At 39.5% G+C, this 23,438-nt stretch overlaps 1 protein-coding gene across 22 annotated transcripts in view, besides 1 other annotated feature; it reads left to right on the forward strand.

The window, feature by feature from the left end:
- RIMS1 (regulating synaptic membrane exocytosis 1) overlaps positions 1–23,438 on the forward strand; it is a 516,596-nt gene that overhangs the window by 295,473 nt on the left and 197,685 nt on the right. For all 22 annotated transcript variants that reach the window (NM_014989.7, XM_017010517.3, XM_047418419.1 and 19 more), the window contains one exon: positions 262–1,127. In NM_014989.7, coding sequence (NP_055804.2) covers positions 262–1,127 — 866 coding nt within the window. The remainder of the gene's footprint in view (positions 1–261; positions 1,128–23,438) is intronic.
- Positions 1,038–1,177: an enhancer, noted in NCBI's record as "active region_24736". NCBI's record gives its function as "activates an Ori minimal core promoter by ATAC-STARR-seq in GM12878 lymphoblastoid cells {active_cell/tissue: GM12878}" and the evidence as "EXISTENCE:reporter gene assay evidence [ECO:0000049][PMID:35858748]".

Here is a 23,438-nt window from a genome sequence, read left to right on the forward strand (position 1 = left end):
AACTATGCTTCAATGAGCTGCTAAATGTAGTACAAGCATGACACTCTTATGAAAACTATATTTGGTAATAATTAATATGTGTTCCCATTAGATCCCTTACCTTGTAAAATTCCAACACCCTTACAGTTCCACCTTCAGATCCAAATCCCTATAACTAATTATTGTAACTGAAATGATTTAAGACTGGAATGAGAAGAAAACATGTTTTTTATGTCTAGTCTTTATAAATTGCTCTCCTTGACGTTCCTTTGTATATCATAGAAAGAAGACCCCAGGGCTTTCCGAGCAGAATGGCAAAGGAGCCCTGAAGAGCGAGCGGAAACGCGTGCCAAAGACCTCAGCGCAGCCCGTGGAGGGGGCCGTCGAAGAACGGGAGCGCAAAGAAAGGCGGGAAAGCCGAAGGCTTGAGAAAGGGCGATCACAGGATTACCCAGACACGCCGGAAAAACGGGATGAGGGCAAAGCGGCGGATGAGGAAAAGCAAAGAAAAGAGGAGGATTATCAGACCAGGTACCGCAGCGACCCGAACCTAGCTCGGTACCCGGTGAAACCGCCGCCTGAGGAGCAGCAGATGCGCATGCACGCCCGGGTGTCCCGCGCCAGGCACGAGCGGCGCCACAGCGACGTGGCGCTCCCGCGCACCGAGGCGGGCGCGGCGCTGCCGGAGGGCAAGGCCGGCAAACGCGCGCCGGCGGCAGCCAGGGCCTCGCCGCCGGACTCGCCGCGGGCTTACTCGGCTGAGAGAACTGCGGAGACCAGGGCGCCGGGCGCCAAGCAGCTAACGAACCACAGCCCGCCGGCGCCCAGACATGGGCCGGTTCCCGCAGAAGCCCCGGAGCTCAAAGCCCAGGAGCCCCTCAGGAAGCAGAGCCGCCTGGACCCCAGCTCGGCGGTCCTCATGCGGAAGGCCAAGCGCGAGAAGGTGGAGACCATGCTGCGGAACGACTCTTTGAGCTCAGACCAGTCCGAGTCGGTGCGGCCGTCCCCGCCCAAGCCGCACCGGTCCAAGAGAGGCGGCAAGAAGCGGCAGATGTCGGTGAGCAGCTCTGAGGAGGAGGGCGTGTCGACGCCCGAGTACACCAGCTGCGAGGACGTGGAGCTGGAGAGCGAGAGCGTCAGCGAGAAAGGTAAGGGGGCGGCGCCGGCCGTGCGGGGACTTCAGCCAAGTGAAGAGGCGTGGGCAGAGGTGCAGGTGCTAGGCTAGTTGCTGGGTTCAGCATTGAGGCTGGGAATGCTCACAGATAAGATAGCGTTACCGCCAGTGGAAGGTCTTATTTTTATTAATTTAATTTTATTGATTGATTTGTGGGATTTTAAAACACAACAAGCTCCAAACTTAGGCTACAAAAGTTCTTGGTGATTTTGCATTCTGTCATTCTGGTAAATTTGGTATGCAGTCTAATATTTTTAAGATATTATTTTAGAGTGGATTTATTATTCTGTGAAAAACAATTTGTTTGCTAGAAAATGAAAATTATGCCTTATAAAGGAAGTAGACATTAAAAAAAAACCACATCAGTTACGTAATATTACAGTTGCAAAGGTAGTTTTTTTTTTTTTCAAACTTCAAATTAACCTTTCTCACAATTTGTGAACAGATTACAGTTTATTCTTGGACAATACGGATTTGAACTGCATGGGTCCACTTATATATGGATGTTTTTTCAATAAATATACTGGATTTTTTTTTTGAGAATTGCAGCAATTTTAAAAACTTGTGGACGAACCGGGTAGCCTGGCAATATTTTAATAAAATAAGAAAAAGTTAGGTATGTCATGAATGCATACTATATATATAGATACTAGTCTGTTTTATCATTTGCTATCATAAAATGTACATGAATCTATTATAAAAAGTTAAAAATGATAAAACCTTAAACACACACTTATAGACTACGTGGCGCCATTTGCAGTGGGAAGAAATGTAAATATGTAAACATGCGGTATTAAATCATAGCTGCATGAAATTAACTGTAGTGCATACTGTATTACTGTAATAATTTCCTTAGCCTCTTCCAGTGATTTTAGTGTTGCGAGCACCACTTTAAAATGCCCTGTGATGCTTATCATCTCCCTTTGAGCAGTTTCTTTCTCCAGTAAATTGCGTGGTATCTTGTGGTTCTCACGTATTTTTTGTGATGTTTAGTGCAATACCATTAACTTTGAATAATACCATGAGACCCATACAGAGTGTCATTAGTGACACTAGAAGTGCTCCCAAGAAGCAACGTCATGACATTACAAGAAAAAGTTGAATTGCTTGATGTGTACCGCAGATTGAGGTCTGCAGCTGCAGTTGCCCACCATTTCAAGATAAATTCAACCAGTGTAAGGACTATTGTTGAAAAAGAAATTTGTGACGCTGTTGCTGCAGCTACGTCAGCAGGAGCAAAACCCGTGCACTTTTTGTGAAAAACTTTTATCTTGCCTTAAAAATGCAGCTTTTATGTGGCTGCAGGATTGCTATAAAAATGTGTATCTATAGACTCTAATATTAGGAAAAAGCAAAGTCGTCATATAACAAAGCAGAAGGATAGTCAAGGACCTAAAGCTAGAGAATTTAATGCCGGAAAAGGATGGCTTGATCATTTAAGGAAGAGGTTTGGCTTTTAAAAAATGTCAAAAGTAGAAGCAGCTTCTGTGGACCAGCAGAGACGAGTTCTAGATGCCATTAAGAAAATTATTGAGGAGAAAGGATATGTGCCTGAACAGGTTTTTAATGCAAGGTGCTTTATTCTGGGAAAAAAAAAAAAGTGCCAAAAAGGACATTTAGTAGTAAGGAAGAGAAGCAAGCACTAGTATTTAAGGCAGGAAGGGTTAGGCTAGCTCTACTGTTTTGTGCAAATGCAGTAAGGGCTGCCTCTATGTATAAAACTATTAACCCCCTGAGTGTTGAAGGGAAAAAATAAACAATAACTGCCAGCCTTTTGGTTGTACAAGAAGGCCTAGACAAGAGTTATTTTCCTGGACTAGATACATGGATGTTTTGTCCCTGAAGTCAGGAAGAACATTGCTAGTAAGGGACTGTCTTTTAAAGTTCTTTTTATATTGAACAATGCCCCTAGCTACCCAGAACCCCATGAGTTCAACACGAAAGGTGTTGAAGTGGTCTACTTGCCTTCAAACACAAAGATTCCAGTTTGGCTTCTGGACCTTAAAGGCTCATTTGACATAGTACTGTATGGACAAGATTGTAACACTGTGGAAGAGAACCCCGATAAATAGAATATCATGAAAATCTGGAAGGATTACACCATTGAAGATGCCATCGTTGTTATAGAAAAAAAACATGAAAGCCATCAGACCCAAAACAATTCATTCCTTCTAGAGAAAATTGTATCAGATGTTGTGCATGACTTCACTGGCAAATCAAGGAAATCATGAAAGAGATTGTGGATATGATGAAAAAAAAAGGTGTGGGGTGAAAGGGTTCTAAATATAGATTCCAGAGTTAATAGACACCACACCAGAGGGATTAACAGAAGATAACTTGATGGATGAGTGCTTCTTAAGCAATGACAGACACTGAGGAAGAAGAGGTAAAAGAAGCAGTGCCAGAAAACAGATTGACATTAGACAGTCTGGTAGAGGGTTCCTGTTGTTCAGGACTCCTTTTGACTTCTTTTACCACATGGATCCTTCTATGATAGAGACAATGACACTAAAGCAAATGGTGGAAAAAGGATTGGTACCATACAGAAACCAATTTTTAGAGAAACAAAAAAGCAAAAATGTCAGACAGAAATTACTATGCATTGCCATAAAGTTACACCAGGTGTGCCTGCCTCTTCTGCTTCCTCTCCCATCTCCTCCACCTCTTTTGCCTCTGACATCCAGAGACAGCAAGGCTCTTTTTCCTTCTCCTCAATGTGAAGACGACGAGGATGAAGACCTTTAGGATGAAGACATTTTTGGTGATCCACTTTTACTTAATGACTAGTAAATATATGTTATCTTCTTTATGGTTTCCTTAATAACTTTTCTTTTCTATTGCTTACTTTATTGTGAGAATAGAGTATATGATACATATAACATACAACATTTGTGTTAATTGACTGTTTATGCTATCAGTAAACAGTAGGTTCCTGTCAACAGTAGGCTATTAGTAGTTAAGGTTTTCTGGAGTCAAAAGTTATACTCAGATTTCTGACTACTTGGGGGTCAACCCCTAACCCCTGTGTTATTCAAGCATCAACTGTACTTCACAAGTATTGTATCAAGCAAGGTGTTATGTATGGTGTTTTGGGTAGTAACTTTGAGGTAAAAAGTTCATACTCCAAAAGTTGTGGGAATATTGTGTGATGGTCTGAATTTTCACTATATAATGCTGTAGCCCCATGTAGCTATTTAAATTAAATAAATGAACTTAAAACTCCTCTTCTTCTGAAGAACTAGCCAAAAAGCCTGGTGCTCGAGAATGATTATCACAAAAAGTTCCATTAGATAGTGCTTATGTAGAAAAGGTTTCAATGTAATATTAAAATTATGTGCTTAGTTTGAAGATTCTCCTCATTTTGCTTCTGTTCACTCAGATTTAAAGTGGCCACAGTCCTAAATTTAATGGTGCTGGTCATCATCCTTGTAGAAGTGTTGGAGCCCTTCAGTGTTTCTTAATGTTTTTGTATTTAGGGGGACTGTTTGCAGTTTTTGGCTTTGTTTGTAATTGCCAAATTGCATAATAAATTATATACAAAATATTATAATTTAAGAATTACTTCACTTCCTCATTCTATGTCCGAACTGCATGTATATATGTACCCCCCCCCATATATATGTGTCCGAACAATCTCATACTATATATAGGAACAATTAAGAAAGCTCATTCTGGCCGGGCGCAGTGGCTCTCACCTGTAATTCCAGCACTTTGGGAGGCCGAGGTGGGGGGATTTTCCGAGCTCAGGAGTTCGAGACCAGCCTGGGCAACATGGTGAAACCCCATCTCTACTAAAATACAAAAAATTAGCCAGGTGTGGTGGCATGCGCCTGTAGGCTACTTGAGAGGCTGACACAGGAGAATTGCTTGAACCTGTGAGGTGGAGGTTGCGGTGAGCCGAGATTGTGCCACTGCACTCCAGCCTGGGCGATAGAGCGAGACCCCGTCAAGAAGGAAAGAGAGAAGGAGAGGAAGAGAGGAAGAAAGGAGGGAAGGAAGAGAGGAATGAAGGAAGGAAGGAAGGGAGGGCTCATTTTGTTATTATTGCTGCAACCCAACTTAAAATAGTGTCTTTGGAATGTAATATATGTATATGGGATCAGTCAGCTCACCTTCCAATGACTTCTCTTTATAAGTTGCATATTATTTATGGGCTTGTAAAAAGTCAAATGGCGGGTAGATTATCTTGACTGCCTTTTGTGCCTTAATATTGTTGTATGAACACATATTTTTCCCTGAGGTAATAAAGTAGGTATTAAATAGAAATGTAGATATACTTAATTTGTGTCCAGATATCCTTTTTGTTTTTTTTTTTTTTTTGGAGACAGAGTCTCGGTCTGTCACCAGGCGGAGTACAGTGATGTGATCTTGGCTCACTGCAACCTCTGCCTCCCTGCAACCTCTGCTTCCTGAGTTCAAGTGATTCTACTGCCTCTGCCTCCTGAGTAGCTGGGACTGTAGGTGCGTACCACCATACCCAGCTAATTTATGTATTTTTAGTAGAGACAGGATTTCACCATGTTGGTCAGGATGGTCTTGATCTCCTGACCTCGTGATCCGCCCACCTCGGCCTCCCAAAGTGCTGGGATTACAGGTGGGAGCCATCGCGCCCAGCCCAGAAATCTCTTGATGGAGATTGATATGTGTATTAGGGTTCTCTAGAGGGACAGAACTACAGGATAGATGTATATATAAAGGGGAGTTTATTAAGGAGTATTGACTCACAGGGTCACAAGGTGAGGTCCCACCATAGGCTGTCTGCAAGCTGAAGAGCAAGGAAGCCAGTCTGAGTCCCAAAGGTGAAGAACTTGCAGTCAGGTGTTGGAGGGCAGGAAACATCCCACACAGGTGGAAGGCTGAAAGACTAAGCCAGTCTAGCCTTTTCATGTTCTTCTGCCTGCTTTTATTCTGGCCGTGCTGGGAACTGATGAGATTGTTCCTGTGCAGATTGAGTGTGGGTCGGCCTTTCCCAGTCCACTGACTCAAATGTTAATCTCCTTTGGCAACACCCTCACAGACAACCCAGGAACAATACTTTGCATCCTTCAATCCTGTCAAGTTGACACTCGATATTAACCATCACAAGTCCACCCTTGTCAACTTGAACCCATACACATCTGAAATCATATGTAATCTTCAAATAAAGACAATAATAAGGTAATAATTATGCCGAACATAATACAACTATCCTTCGTACAACCAGAAAGTACCAATCCCCAACCCAAATGCTGTTACATAGAGTTAACAACACTGAAATGCTGATATGAAGTCAATAAATCTTATGTCACATGATAAAGGAAAAAGGAAATAAGATGAAGATATTTTCTTAGCACAAGTGTATACATGCACAAATATGTTCTTAACAAAATAAGAACTCATGACAATTACAGTTCTCATTTCTGCACTTGGTCACATGGCCATAGCTGGAATTGATGACTACCTTCTACTACCCATTCTTTATTTCCTTTGCCTTCTGCAAGCACCTCAGCAGTTTGTGGTTTTTTACCTGGTAGAGTCACCCAGACCATCATTCCTGAGGGTCTGGGCCATTTGTAATCCTGCCTGGATTGGGCTGTTGTAGTTTTCCATTTACCTCAATCACAGGGCATGGTAATACTAAGAGACGCCCTAAGGGATCTCCTGTATTCCATGCATACTTTTCCTTACCTCCATTATGGAGTAGTAGACTGATTTCATCTTGATAGTCCAGGTCATTCACCCAAGCCAACACTGCAATTCCCTTCTTGGCCTGTTGACTTAAAGGTAGCAGTGGCCAGGTGGCAATATTAACTTACAGTTTAATGGAATCATTGTGTCTCCTGGTGACAGGTTCCTTCCTCTGGAACTAAGACCTTTAGACCAGCAGAACATAATGTTATGGGAACAGGAAGCAAAAATTTTGCTAGTGGGTCTCTAGGGATGATGGTGAGTGTTGCCACTTCCACTTCTACCTTTTGATTCCTGGACCTGTGAATCCTGGCTAAGGGAGAAACAGTACCATGTATTGGACACTGATTCAGAGCATACACAGCCCTCTGGAGAACTTTGCCTGAGCCCTGCAAAGTATTATCACCTAGTTGGTGTTGTCATTGCGACTTCAAAAGGCCATTCCACTGTTCTATCAATCCAGCTGCTTCAGGATGATGGGGAACATGGTAAGACCAGTGAATTTCATGAGCATGAGCCCACTGCTGCACTTCTTTAGCCGTAAAGTGAGTACCTTCATCAGAGGCAATGTTGTGTGGAATACCATGACAGTAGATAAGGCATTCCATGAGTCCATGGATGGTAGTCTTGGCAGCAGCATTGCATGCAGGATAGGCAAACCCATATCTGGAGTAAGTGTCTGTTCCAGTAAGGACAAACCACTGCCCTTTCCATGATGGAAGAGGTCGAGTGTAATCAACCTGCCACCAAGTAGCTGGCTGATCACCCCAAGGAATGGTGCCATATTAAGGGCTCAGTGTTGGTCTCTGCTGCTGGCAAATTGGGCACTCAGCAGTGGCCATAGCCAGGTCAGCCTTGGTGAGTGGAAGTCCATGTTGCTGAGCCCATGCGTAACCTCCATTCCTGCCACCATGGCCACTGTGTTCATGGGCCCATTGGGCGATGACAGAGGTGGCTGGGGAAAGAGGCTGAGTGTTGTCCACACAACGAGTGATCCTATCCACTTGATTATTAAAATCCTTTTCTGTGGAGGTCACCTGTTGGTGAACACTCATATGGGATACAAATATCTTCAGTTTTTGACCACTCAGAGAGTTCCATCCACGTACCTCTTCCCCAGATTTCTTTGTCACCAATTTTCCAGTCATGCTTCTTCCAAGTCCCTGACCATCCAGCCAAACCATTGGCCATAGCCTGTGAATCAGTATGTAATCACACATCTGGCCATTTCTCCTTCATGCAAAGTGTACAACCAGGTACACTGGTCGAAGTTCTGCCCACTGGGAAGATTTCCCTTCACTGCTGTCCTTCAGGGATGTCCTAGAAAGGGGGTGTAGTAGGCTGGGGAAGCTGGCTCATGCCTGTAATCCCAGCACTTTGGGAGGCCGAGGTGGGCGGATCACCTGAGGTCAAGAATTCGAGACCAGCCTGACCAACATGGAGAAACCCCATCTCTACTAAAAATACAAAATTAGCCGGGCATATTGGTGCATGCCTGTAATCCCAGCTACTCGGGAGGCTGAGGCAGGAGAATCATTTGAACCCGGGAGGCAGAGGTTGCCGTGAGCTGAGATCGCGCCATTGCACTCCAGCCTTGGCAACAAGAGTAAAACTCTGTCTCAAAAAAAAAAAAAAAAAAAAAAAGAAAGAAAGAAATAAAGGGGCTGTAGGGGCTATAGTGCTGGAGCTGTCCGCCTTCATTTGGTGCCTGCATATGGTGCAGAACCATCTGTGAACCAGGCTCTAGTCTCCTCTTCCTCTGTCAACTGATTGTAGGAAACTCCTGATGAGACCATAGGTGCATGCTGTGGGGGAGAAGGCAGGGTGGCAGGAGTGGAGATGATGGGCATTTGAGCCACTTCCTCATGTAACTTACTTGTGCCTCAGGACCTGCTTGAGCCTGATCACATATATGCCACTTCCATTTGATGATGGAATGCTGCTGGGCCCCAGTTTATGGCTAGATGGGTCAGAAAGTACCCATTTCACAATAGGCAGTTCAGGTTGCGTGGTGACTTGACCCATGGTCAAACATTCAGTTTCCAGTAAAGCCCAGGAACAGGCCAAGAGGCTGTCTCTCAGAAGGAGCGTAGTTATCTGCAGAAGACAGCAGGGCCTTGTTCCAAAATCCTAGAAGCTTCTGCTGTGATTCACCTATGGGTGCCTGCCAAAGGCTCCAAACAGCATCTCTATCTGCCACTGACACCTCAGACACCATTAGATCTGCTGGATCATATGAACCAAGTGACAGAGCAGCTTGCACAGCAGCCTGGACCTGTTGTAGAGTCTTCTTCTATTCTGGACCCCACTCAAAACTAGCAGCCTTTTGGGTCACCTGATAGATGGGCAGAGTAACACACCCAAATGAGGAATGTGTTGCCTCCAAAATCCAAATAGGCCCACTAGGTGTTATGCTTCTTTCTTGGTTGTAGAAGGTTGCCAAATGCAGCTATTTATCCTTTACCTTCCTTAGAGGGAATATCTTGACAAGCCCCACACCACAGGACCCCTAGAAATTTTACTGAGGTAGAAGGTCCCTGAATTTTAGTCGAATTTATTTCCTATCCTCTGGCATACAAATGTTTCATCAGTAAGTCCAGTGTGTTTGCTACTTCATGCTCACAGGATCCAATCAGCATAATGTCATCAATGTAATGGACCAGTGTGATACCTTGTAGAAGGGAAAAGCAATCAAGCTCTCTCAGAACAAGATTATGACACAAAACCAGAGAGTTGATATACCCTTGAGGTAGAACAGTAAAGGTATATTGCTGGCCTTGCCAGCTGAAGGCAAATTGCTTTTGATGGGCCTTATGGACAAGAATAGAGAAAAAGGCATTTGCCAAATCAGTGGCCGCATACCAAGTACCAGGAGATGTGTTAATTTGCTCAAGTAATGAAGCCACATCTGGTATAGCAGCTGCAATTGGAGTCACCACAACTTGGTTAAGCTTATGATAATTCACTGTCGTTCTCCAAGATCCATCTGTCTTCTGCACAGGCCAAATAGGAGAGTTGAACGGGGATGTGGTGGGCATCACCACCCCTGGGTCTTTCAAGTACTCGATGATGGCACTAATCTCTTCAGTCACTCCAGGGATGTGATATTGTTTTTGATTTACTATTTTTCTAGGTAGAGGCAGCTCTACAGGCTTCCATTTGGCCTTTCCTACCATAATAGTCCTCACCCTACCAGTCAGGGAGCCAACGTGGGGGTTCTGCCAGCTGCTAAGTACGTCTGTGCCAATTATGCATTCTGTTACTGGGGAAATGGCCACAGGATGTGTCCGGGGACCCACTGGACCCACTGTAAGTTGGATCTGAGTTAAAACTCCATTAATTACCTGACCTCCATAAGCCCTTACTTAAACTGGAGGACCACAGTGACATGCTGTGTTCCCTGGAATCAATGTCAGCTCAGAGCCAGTGTCTGGTAGTTCCTGAAATGTCTGATCATTTTTTCCTTCCTCCAGTGCACAGTTACCCTGGTAAAAGGCTGGAGGTCTCCCTGGGGAAGGATAGGAGAAAGAGTAACAGCATAAATTGTCGATAGTGTAGTGGGGTCCTTTCTCAAGAGCCCCCAGCTTTCCCTTCATTCAATGGGTGCTGGGTCTGTAAACTGTCTCAGGTCTGGAAATTGATTGAAGGGCTGTGATTCTCTGTTTTAATAATTCAAATTAGTCTTTTTTCCACTCAACCTGGAAGTTTTCTGCTTATATAAATTAAGAATGCAGTAGGCGTCCTATCAATTTCACTTCTAGGAACACTGTGATTAATTAGCCAATGCCAGAGCTCTACGTGAGTCAGGCTATTCCGATTGCTGCTTTGCCTCTGCTGTCCATTATGGTAGCTATGCCCACCTTGCCTTTGATGGTTGAGTGCTGCCCTTGGCTCCTGCCACCTTAGTATCTAATTATTCCAGTTGCACAGATGGAGGGCTGAAAGGCTAAGCCAGTCTAGTCTTTTCATGTTCTTCTACCTGCTTTTATTCTGGCTGTGCTGGCAGCTTATGAGATTGTGCCCACTCAGATTGAGGGTGGTCTGCCTTTCCCAGTCCACTGATTCAAATGTTAATCTCCTTTGGCAGTACCCACACAGACACACCCAGAATAATGCTTTGCATCCTTCAATCCAATAAAGTTAACACTCAGTATTAACCATCACAATATGTATATTCTCCCATTCCTTAAAGGGCTCTTCACCAGTTTTTATTGAATATGTGTTATAAATCACAGTGAGCATGGAATCAGACATAATTAAATCCTAAAATTATTTACAATAACAGCAGATAATGAAAGAAACCTGACTGGTGGCATGGGTAGTTGGAGGGTTGGAGCTTGTCTGATGTGAAGAACTTATTGCCTCACCATGCTGTTTCCCCTCCTTGGGAATTTATCATTCTGGAGACTTTGGTTACCATTTGGGTTGTACACATCTCTGAAGTTAGTGTTAAACCTGTGCATCTGGGAACACAAGGATACCAGACGCTCATTTATCTGATAAAGACAACCTGGTTCCTCTTAACATAAATGATCTCATTCTCAAATAAATTGTGTGACTATACCTTAAAGTGGTCATCCTACTCTAATATTTTAACCAATCTCAGCCTTTACAAAATGAAACACAAAGAGCAACACCTTTTATCACTGTAGCATGGAGATTTGCTTATTTCAAACTTAATTAGAAATGCCATCTGTAATAGCTATTAATAACTTTATTAGCAAACTCCACCATTGCCTACTAAGGGTGATTTTGGGAACCAGCCATGATAATCTCCAGCACCTTGTGACACTGCACAAGTTACTTAACTTCCATAAATCTCCATTTTCTTATTAGCACAACTGAAATAAAAGTATCTACCTCATAAGGTTGTTGAGTGGTTTGGATGAGATAATGCATCTATAATAGGATGCTAAATTAACATTCTTCATATCTTTATTTTGCCTGTGGTACTAATACCATATATGTTTATTATCATAATTATGAGATAATTATCAATATCTATAATATACAAAGAAAAGGGAAAAGAAACAGTTTTGTATGTTATGAGCCCCAATAGAGTGAGAAGGCAAAGGATGATCTGGGAAGAAATTTTTTTTTAGAGTAATTCAAGTTTTCTTGATATTTAGTTTAAATGACAATTGAAAATCTAACACTTTGTGGAAGATGTGTTCTATAGGAATACATTTAACCGAGGAGGTGAAAGATCTCTGCAAGGAGAACTACAAAACACCGATGAAATAAATAGATGACACAAACAAATGGAGAAACATTTCATGCTCGTGTAGCAGAAGAATCAATATGGTTAAAATGACCATAACCATCCAAAGCAATATACAAATTCAATGCAATTCCTATGAAATTACCAATGTCATTCTTCACAGAATTAGATTTGTTAAAAAGAATAGTATGTCATTTTTGAATCTCAGGTGGGGGAAGATTATCCTCATGGAATAAAATTTAAAAGGACAGTTTATCAGTTACACATATAAGTTAAACATTTAACACAGTACCTGGCATATGGTAACTACTTAATATATGTGTACTATTATTGTCATAGATATATACTACTATTTGTATTTTATGCTGAGTTTGTTCTTATGTTTGTTAAAAAAAGGTATTTCACATTTTCTATGTATTTACTGAGGTTAAAAAAAATATGCTTCCTACTCTAATGGAGTTTATATTCTATTGAGAAAAATAAACAATAAGGAATAATTACACAATAAAATACAACTTGATAAATGCCTCAAAGGGACATTTCTCCTTGATGTATTGATATAATATTCCTATGTGTTTTGCTGTCTCACAAAACCAAAAGGTAACCTGGTCAAAATGGCATCTGAAAGATAACACAGCCTTTATAGTCAATATAATCTTTCAAATACAGTTTAATTCCTTTGAATACACATGCAAAGCACACACACACACTGATTAACAATGGGCTCTATCTGGTGGGATTATCTAAAAATTGAGATTAACAACCACGTTTTACAAGTGATTGCCATTCATACTGCTATTGCCAGGTGAGAAAAATTGGGCATCTCTTGTCTTTTAGCTTATAAATACTAACTAATATAAATCTCTCTAAATGGAAGAAAAAGTGAACTAAATCCTGCTTATAAAATAACAGTTAAAGTTAAATGAAATATGTAATATAATTCATTGAAAGAAGGTCTACTGAAGATTCATACTGAAGATTCGTGCCTGTGAGGAATTGAGTAAAGAGGCCTAAGAGTAAACAGTGAAATTAAGGTGCTGTCTTGATCCAAGGGAAAGCCACTTATACTTAAGGAACTTAATATATAAATCCTAAGGCAGGGAGTTGGAAGAAGAGCCTGGCATAGGATAACAGGATTTCCTTCCTTCTTTATCTTCTCCATGCTGACTTTCAGTAAACTGAGAAAGTACAACACAAATTAATTATGCCTTTGAATTTCTACAGTGCTTTGTGAATGGCTTCAGATGTCAACCTATATAACAAGGGGCAGTTGGTTGGTTTATAGCTGTTACTGCTAGGCAGTGTTTAGCAGTCTTTTGAGGAGCATAAGGTTTCTGGATTAGTCTAAGAAATGATACATGCAAGAATATCAAACAATGAGTAGCTGAATAAGACTGAGGACCCTTAATAACAGATGTGACTTTTACCCCTAAATATAGAGATGGTGTTAGGGTACCAAGTGTAGATTGTGGCAATATGAATAATTGCCTGTTAAGTTTGGGTACCTGACAATCATTGGAGAATCGGGAACTCTTATAAGATGATACATCCTTTAAATGTAACTTATGCAATGCTTTATATGGTCACTTAGTTCTTAAACTAAACGTACTGGGAGTATCCTCTTTGGGCTTCAGCAGTATAATGCATACTGCTCACATAGTGCTTATAATTTTGACTAGAAGTGTATTAGTCCATTCTCTTACTGCTATAAAGAACTGCCTAAGACTGAGTAATTTATAAAGAGGTTTAGTTGACTCATAATTCTGCATGGCTGGGGAGGCCTCAAGAAACTTAGAATCATGATGGAAGGGGAAGAGGCACGTCTTACATGACGGCAGGTGAGAGAGAGCGAGAGTATGAAGGAGGAACTGTCAGATACTTATAAAACCATCAGATCTTGTGAGAACTCACTATCATGAGAACAGCATGGGGGACACCGCCCCCATGATCCATCACCTCCCACTGGGTCTCTCTATTGATACATGTGGATCATGGGGATTACAATTCAAGATGAGATTTGGGTGGGGACACAAAGCCTAACCATATCAAGAAGTTATTGGTTTATGTATATTTCCTGGGAGCAAAGAATTCATTTTGTGTTCTTCTCATAGTCCTGGTATTTTTTCTTGTAACATTAAGAGGGTTTGCAATTCAAAAATTTGGCTATTATTTATTCATGTAATAATTTATTTAATAAATATCTAAAAAGAACCTACTGCATTATGAGTGCACTCTTCTAGCTAGTCAATTGAAAATGCCATGAATGCAAGGACCATGGCTATTTCCTCTGTCTGTCTGTCTGTCTGTCTGTCTGTCTATCTATCTATCTATCTATCTATCTATCTATCTATCTATCTAACTGGGGACTTTATAGAGAGACAGGATGCTTCAAAACAAAATCAGGCTCTGTGGTAAGAATTTAGCTACATATATTTTAAAAATTGTAACCTTAAAACAATTACAACTTAACCCATTTCCCGTTTGCCCTAAAAGTACTGTGCTGGCAGCCAGCTGCACTTTTTTTTTTTTTTTTTTTTTTTACCTATACAGGAAATGGGTTAAAAGGAGCTTTCTCTTCAAATGGCTGTCAAATCTCAGCATTTGTTTTTCTTACTCCATGAGACTCCCATAAAATACTCATAAAAGTGATGAGAAAAGGTGAACTATGAGTAGATGAGATGTTTATAGCAGATGGAAAGGCGAATATAGCGTGCTTTTCCACATAAGAGCTTGTCAGGTAGGCATGAGGGTGTGGTGGTGGAGTAGAGAGCTATTTGCCATAAAGCATCTTTGTGAAGACTTCAGGCTCAGAGACATCAGATTCAATGGAGCTGAAGTGAGAGGGAGCACTTCAAGTTGGCATGTTCATTCAGTATTTGTTGACACACACTTTTACATCACTCTTCTTACCATTCCCCCTTCCTCTTTATTGCCTTGCACACACTAAAGGCCCAAGATTTAAATCCTAGGTAAATATCAAGAAGCAATTCAGCACACTGCTTGAGCAAAAATCAGATACTAGGAGTAGGTGCCTCCCCACTGTGGAACCCCCATCCATACCATCCTAAAGTTGAGCTTCACACCTCATTCATCCTAAAGTGAAAGCTATCCATTCACATACTCTATTCACAAATGTCAGAGATACACTTAGTATCTACCAGAGCAGCCTATCTAAAATGATCTACGTGGAAACACTCACCAGCCACACAGGAAAATCCACTGATTGGTTGCTCATTTTAAATGTGAATGAACAACAAAACCCAAAAGATAGGAAGAACCACGATAAACCAAGACACATTGACCCTGGAAATAAGAGATCATTCAAGAGCAGAAGAATGCTTAAAAAACAAACAGAACAAAATGCCACACATGTTGCTCAAGTTTAGTATAATACTTCCTGAAATGTCTAACCCACAGGGAAATTTGTTCACCCAAACACACAAATATTCTGTGTAAAATACTTTTTTAAGTATTAAAGTTATTAACAGAACTCAAGATAAAGAGAAAGCTCTGGGTACCAAAATTTATAGCATTGAAGTGCTTCGACAAAGGTGACTGGACAAAATACAAGATTATATGACCAAACTCAGTATCACACACTTGCCTACAGGTATGGTATCTGGGCAATTCTCCAAGCCAGGAAATAAAATAACCTGATCTTAGGCATTAAAACAAAAGCTGAAGTAAAAGTGATGAATTTTGAAACTACAAAGAGGCAACCATTAAACTTACCTATGAGGAAGCCCATACAGCCATGGGGATGCCCAAAGATGAGTACAAAGATTATAATTGTGAAACATAAGAGGAACTCCAACACCATTAAAGATGCCAAGGAAAAGGGGAAAAATGTATAAGCTTTTGGAGGTTAAAAAATAAACCAGGTCATATACAAAAAAGAGTTAACTGCCTTTATAGTTCTCATCAGCAATGATGAACTACAGACTGAACATAAACTACAGTTGATGAATGCCTTCAAAATTTTGAGATTTCTCTAAAAACAAAATAGAACAACCATATAATCCAGTAGTCCCACTACTGGTATTTATCCAAAGGAAAGGAAATCAGAATATCAAAGGGATACCTGCGCTCACATGTTTATTGAAGCACTATTCACAATAGCAAAGATACTGAATCAAACTAAGTGGCCATCGGTGCATGAATGGGTAAAGAAAATGTGCATATACGCAATTAAATACGATTCGCCCATATGAAAGAATGAAATCCTCTTATTTGCAGTAACATGGATGGAACTGGAGGTTATTATGAAATAATAATCATCATCATCATCTGCAGTAACATGGATGGAACTGGAGGTTAAGTGAAATAAGTCAGGCAAAGAAAGCAAACATCATATACTCTCACTCATATGTGGGAGCTAATAGAATTGATTTCATGGAGGTAGACAGTAGAGTGATAATTACCAGACATGGGGAAGGGTGTGTTGAGGGGAGAGGGATGGAAAAGAGAGGCTGCTCAATGGGTACAAACTTACAGTTAGATAGAAGGAATAAGATCTAATGTTTGATAGTAGAGTAAGTATACTATAGTTAACAACAATATATTTCATATTTCAGAATAGCTAGAAGAGAGGACTTAAAATGTTCCCAACATATAGAAACAATAAATACGTGAGATAATGGATATCTTAAATACCCTGACTTGGTCATTACATATGCTATGGGTGTAACAAAATAGTACATGTACCTCATAATTATGTATAAATATTATGTGTTAATAAAAATATACAGAATCAATTATGAGCAAAGTAATTTTGAAACCGCAATTCTGTATTCATCTAAACTATCAACTTCAAAGTTCTCAGAAAACCTGCATTTTATTCTCGTTCTGAGAATGTTATTTAAGGATATATGCACCCAAGAAAACTGAATAATAATCATGTAGTCAAGACAAATAATAAACAAGAAATAGTAGAACTAACCCAGAAATTCAATGCAAGGAAGTCCCTGAATGACATGTGCAAAAAGAAGTTTGTTCAGATTAAAACTGGAGGTCATTTCCAGGAGGCTCCAATAAGAAAGTCTGTATTAAGAAGAAGGTCATGGATTCCAAGAAATATCCAATGACTAATGAATGAGTTACATGACATCATAGACTTGTTAAAGAAAGGCTGTGTCTTCTTTCAACAATAAAAAGGGGCAATTAAAAATTGATAAAAAATAAACTTAAAAAAATCCTTGTCCAAATGTGAAGCAAGAAAAAATATGATGTAATTTAAGTAACTGATACAGCCAATTGGGCCATAAACTTAACTACATTTTTCTCTGAGTGCCTGACAGTGCATCTATAGAAAAGGAAATTTAACCCTTGCACATTATTGCCATTTTCTTGGTTCTAGGGTATTTAGATGTAATGATATTGTAAAAGTTGCTTATTGGTTTTCAATTTTTAGAATAAACCCTTTTTTTCATTTAATACTTAAAAATGTCAACACAATTGAATATGAATACTGTGTCTGCATGAAAATAAAGGTAAAACTGACAGATATGGGAGTTGAAATGCTCTGGAGAGGGCAGAGGTGGAGGGATAGGCAGGAATATGAATAGTCTTATGTAAAATATTGAAGAGTTAAAAGATTGTGTTCAGATTTTAGGACAAGAAATAGAGGATTAAGTATGTTTAAATATAGAATTGTAGAAAGATAAAACTATTGGCTTCTGAAACCAAAATGATGTAAATAAAGTGAGCATCTTGTCTTTAATCAGTTTTAACAATAGGTAATATTTTAAAATTAGAAACCAGTAGATAATATTACAAATAAAGCAGTCAACATATAGAGACAAATTATTTTAAAATTAGGATGTTTTCCATTAGAACGACTAAGAAAATATCTAAAAATAAGGTTGGGAAGTAGAATTGATACTGTGGGAAGAAGGGATATGAGGAGAAATCAATTACTATAGTTATGCATGGGAAGCTCTTATTTATTTTAATTTTTATCATATGCATGCATTAATTTGATATCCTTTAAAATAAGAAAATAAAAAATTCTATCTAATATTTCTTTTATTAAATTGCAAGTAACCAATTTTGGTGTCTTCTGGGGCCTTCCATAATTGGTATTTTAGCAATCAGAACATCAAAGAGCAGTGGGTTCACATGGAACTGTAAAAGCCTTGAGTTCTCTTTTTATACTAGTTTCTCTTTCCTTTCTCTTCATATATTAATTTTTCATTGAGCTTCCACTATATGACAGGCACTTACCAGGTTTGGGGAGTATATTGCTTAGAGCATAGTCCCTGACCTCAGTGGCCCTCTCAAAAGAGTCCACCTGATTTCTTTTGTGCTTTTCCCTTTTATCTACATCTGCCCTGGGCCCTTTCCCACACAAGGTGAGGAACACACTTTCAGAGACCTCTACCTCCACTTCTTAACCTTCAATGAAAGGCTTTCTGTAGTTTCTTCTTTAATTACTCCAAAAGAGGAAAGAAATTGCCATAGGGAAACATTTGGACAATTGGACAGGTTGACATTTAGCACTAATGCTCAACAGTTTTACCTGGCCTGACTTTTTCTGGTCTTATGAAGGATAGAGATGAGAATAGGCATAAAACAGAAGAGAGACTACTGTCTGCCATTGATGAGGGAAGGATAAACAATTCTCCCTCTTAACTACCGAAAAGGAGACATATGACTTGGGGCATTAGATGCTTCAGTTTAATGCCTTAGAGAAAGTCTGAGAACTAATTTCTTCTTACTGTGGATATGGAGTGGACATTAGCCGTTTTAATCATCTGTGCAATTTAAATCTTGAGAAGAGATTGAAAGGACACAATTGTGTGTGTGTGTGTGTGTGTGTGTGTGTGTGTGTGTGTGTGGTCTGAGCTAACATGCCAATTTCTTATTTCTAAGAATATGCATTAAGAAAAATTTGGAAATCATGGTGAGAGGCTGGATTTTCAGTTTCAATTTCTGCCTAATATATAAACGACCAAAAAAAGTCTCCTTGATTCTAAAACAGGAGTTATGACGAAACATAAGTTCTATAAAAAGGAAAGAAATTAAGTTGGTAAATCTAACATGATTATACCCAATAATATTTCTTCCAAATTAGTCCATGGCTAGAAATATTAGTCATTTAGTTGCATTTGAAAGAAATTTCTATTCTTGAATCAGGAGAAACTAAATTAACATCAGGGCTACATTTTCAAAAATAATCATACAAATTTTATGTGTAATATATGCTTACAACTTTAATATAGAACTTTTAAAAAGATGTGTAACTAAAGGTCATTTTAAGGGGAAACATTTACGCTTCAAAGTTCATTTAGAAAAAGATTTGATATTGAAGATTTCAGTATCACCTGTTTTATCTCAGTAAGTTGTTCTTTGGTATCCTTTTAAAATGCAGAATCATACTGCAGTGTTTTTGACCCATTTTATCCAGTGAATGAAAAGGTTGTCCTTATTTTGGTTCAATTTAACAGAATAACAGAAATCTCAGACCTGGAAGAGGGTTCAGAAGCAAACAAAAATCTCTCCTTTCACACACTGTTGATCAGAGAAGGAAACATGGGTATTGAGATCTGCCGAATTTCTTGCCTTTGAAACCCTTTATTATATGCAGATGGAAGAGCTTGAAACTCATCTTGTACCCTCTGAGGACAAGCATTTACTCAGTCCTTCTACTTATTCTGTCTGCAGTCTGGGCTCAACCCTAACAATCTAAATTTTAACATATTCCTGAGTCCACATTCCAGAGTTGTGCCTTGTTTTGGTTATTAGATCCATTTCCCTAGATCTTGTGACCAAATCTGATTCTGTTGCCCAAGTCTTCAGAACTGAAGCTTTTGCTTGCCGTCACCAGTCCCTGTCCAGGAGTTAGATAGAAGCTGGATCCCTAGATACTGACTGATGTCAACTACTGTATTGGAAATCCAGATACTACCTTCCGTATCATACTTATTCATACCTCGTGGGGCATTTCTGATTCTTACTGCTATTCTAGGTTTATTGTATTTAGCCATCTTCTTTGTATGTCTTGTTTTAACTACTGAGCTAAACTTGTGCAATTGTGTCTTTTTTAAAAGCACATGTTTCATCCCAAAGGGCAGATCTAATTTTAATTCCAGTAAACCCTTCTGAGGCTGCTGTGTACCACATGAGATAATAATTGTATTAGTTTCCAAGGGTTACCATAACAGGATACTGCAGACTGGGTGTCCTAAACAACAGGAATTTATTTTCTCATAGTTCTGGAGGCTGGAAGTCTGAGATCAGGGTGTTGGCAGGGTTGGTTCCTTTGGAGGAACCTGGGGAAGGATCTGTTCCAGGCCTTTCTCCCTGGTTTATGGATGACTGACTTTTCTCTGTATCTTCTCATGATCTTCTCTCTCTGCATGTTGTGTCCAAATTTCCTCTTCTTGTAAGGATACCAGTCATACTGGATTAGGAACCTCCCTAATGGCCTCATTTTGGTTTAATTGCATCTTTAAAGACTCTGTCTCCAAATATAGTTACAGTCGGAGGTAATAGGGGTTAGGACATCAACAGATGAGTTTGGAGGGGGACATAATTCAACTCAATGATAATATTCATAGGAGGAAAGAGACCAAGTCCTGTAGATGTTTGTGTACGTACATGATAAATACTGATTTTGGCATTTGTCTCCATGGTTGTCTATGAAAAACATGATCATGAAGAACCTTATTGAGCAGTTGCTTTATGAAGAGGGTTTAATATCCCAGATCATGAGGACATAAATAAGTTTTAGGCATAGCCAGAGACTGATAACCCAGGACATGTTACTTAACCCCTAAGTCTCAAGTTCAATCGTTTTAGAACCTGGAAATAATAATTGCACATACCGCATGGAGTAGTTGTAAAGATTAAATGAGATTATTCATGGCTCTGTGTGCCTTGTACCTGATACATAGCAAGTACTCCATAAATATTCTTTCTTTCTTTTTTTATTTTTTATTTTTTGAGACGGAGTCTCCCTCTGTCGCCAGGCCGGAGTGTGGTGGTGCGATCCCGACTCACTGCATGCTCCGTCTCCTAGGTTCACGCCATTCTCCTGCTTCAGCCTTCCGAGTAGCTGGGATTACAGGTGCCTGCCACCACATTTGGCTAATTTTTTGTATTTTTAATAGAGGCGGGGTTTCACCGTGTTAGCCAGGATGGTCTCGATCTCCTGACCCTGTGATCCGCCCACCTCAGCCTCCCAAAGTGCTGGGATTACAGGCATGAGCCACCGCGCCTGGCCCCATAAATATTATTTCTATGGCACCAAATAGGATGCATAGATAATATATTTTACAGTAGTGAGGAAGGAAGCTTGAATGCCGACGTTTAATATTAGAGCTGGGGTAGATTTTGGGCAGAAAGAACCAATGTGTCATTCTAGTGAGGGAGACTGGCATGAAGAAGGAAAGACAAGCATACACACTGTTCTAGGAAGAATAAGCTTATAGACCTGTAGAGAGAAAAGAGCCCAGAGGTTACAGGTTGAGGGAACAGGTTATCCTAGTTCTGTCAAGAACTGGGTTACCTTGGGTAACAGAAGGAGAGGGTTGGATTAGATCAGTGATCCTAAAATTTTTATGTACTTTTAAAATTATCTGAGGAGCATTTAAAAATATGTGCTGGAGTAGCACCAAAAACTAATCTGGTTTAGTCAATGTGGAGCAGTGCCCCAAATTTATTTTAATGTGTAGTTGAATAAGTTCAGTGCACGTTGCAATCACTTGAGGGAGGAGATTTTTGAAAAACCTGCTAGTATTCAGGTCCCAAGCCCAGAGATTTTGATTTTAGTGTTATGGGTTGGGGCCTGAGTATTGTTATTGGCAAATCTCAAACCTGACCCTTCATAAATTATGAAGTGCTAGTCCTCCCATGAGAATTTTTTTTTGGTATCATAAGATGAGCTTCCAATAAAAAGTTGAATATTAATTTGAAGACACATTTGACTGGGAAAGTATCCAAAATGATTTAACTTATGTTTGGGGAATAAAATACAGAGTTATATGAATCCAGGTATGTTTTGGAACTTCTTAACCTTCACTTTCTGACTGACTAGCAGGTGTGAATTCTGCCTGGGATAGCTCTGTAGTGCTTGGGAGCACATAAATGAGGGAGGGATTAAGGAACAGAAGAGTGACTTTGCATATATTTGGAACAGAAACTGAAAGTCCTGTCTACTTTGAGATAATAAATGGGAAAGTATTGCTCAGAGTCTTGAGGATCATACAAAGGTAGTAATTGTAACTGTCCTAACACTTTGTCATTCCAGTCGGTGCGGTGGTGAAACTCCTGTAGATTAGGTTATCATTATATACAGAATGAAATCCAAAAAACTTCAGCCATGCCCTTCAATCTTCACAGTGTCTTGTGTCTTGACACAATCACCTCTAGAACTCTGTTCTTCCTGACTGATTAGCATTTATTTCCTGTATTTCACACTTACCATACACTTTTCCATCTCCATTATTTGGCAGTGTTCTGCCTTTTTAAAATGTCCTCTATCTCTAGCTGTGATTTAAAACTAAAATCAAATTTCGCCTTCTCCTCAATCGTTCTCTTTGAATACCCAATTTTATTCTTAATGTTTGCATGTGCTTTCCTAAGGGAAATTAATTATAAGCATAAACGGAGAAATCATCTTTCTACATTTATATATTGTTTTATGGTTACTAAAGTGATAGTTTATAGTTACATACATGGAATTATAGTTGTTGGATTAAGTTGTACATTGTTGAATGTTTCTTTTTTAATTTATAGAAGTAATTAGAAAGTAAGAAACTAATAAATTTTATAATTTCATAGGGAGAAAAGATGTATATAAAAGTACTGCTGAGGATGATTGGGTTTGAAAAAGGGTAACTTTTCTTGTCTTCTAATTCTTGGCATATCTGTTAAGTTTATTGATTTAATGGCCATGCATTTGGGAAAAATTACTTAGGTCAATAAGTACCTTTTCATTGGATGACAAGACATTATTTACTTTGTTTCTTGTGTAATTACAGAAACTTCTCCTAATTACAGAGAAGTAATTACTTCTGTGTTCTCAGGATTCTGTTTCTTTAATTATTTTAGTAATTTGGACATTAATTTTTGAACTACAAAGAGGTAACTGTAATATTCCTACCATTAGACATTAATTTAGTGTGTATTCTAATGACAGAGAAAAAAAATTATGCATGGAAAAAACTACCTGAGTTATTAAGAGAGAATTGCCATTAGATTTAAGAAAGAAATAAAGCAACATCAATAACATCAATAATAATAGTGAAACACAAAACAGGTTAGGAAGCTCAGACTGACAGCTAAGTGATCAGAAGGGAAATTTTAATTGGCATAATCCCCAGAAAGAATAAGAGCTCTAAATTAGGTGTAGGGGCTGCCAAGACAGCTCTTTCTTTGGGAAACCATGAGTTAGGT

This window comes from Homo sapiens, chromosome 6 (genome assembly GCF_000001405.40).
Source record: "Homo sapiens chromosome 6, GRCh38.p14 Primary Assembly".
Classification (NCBI taxonomy): domain Eukaryota; kingdom Metazoa; phylum Chordata; class Mammalia; order Primates; family Hominidae; genus Homo; species Homo sapiens.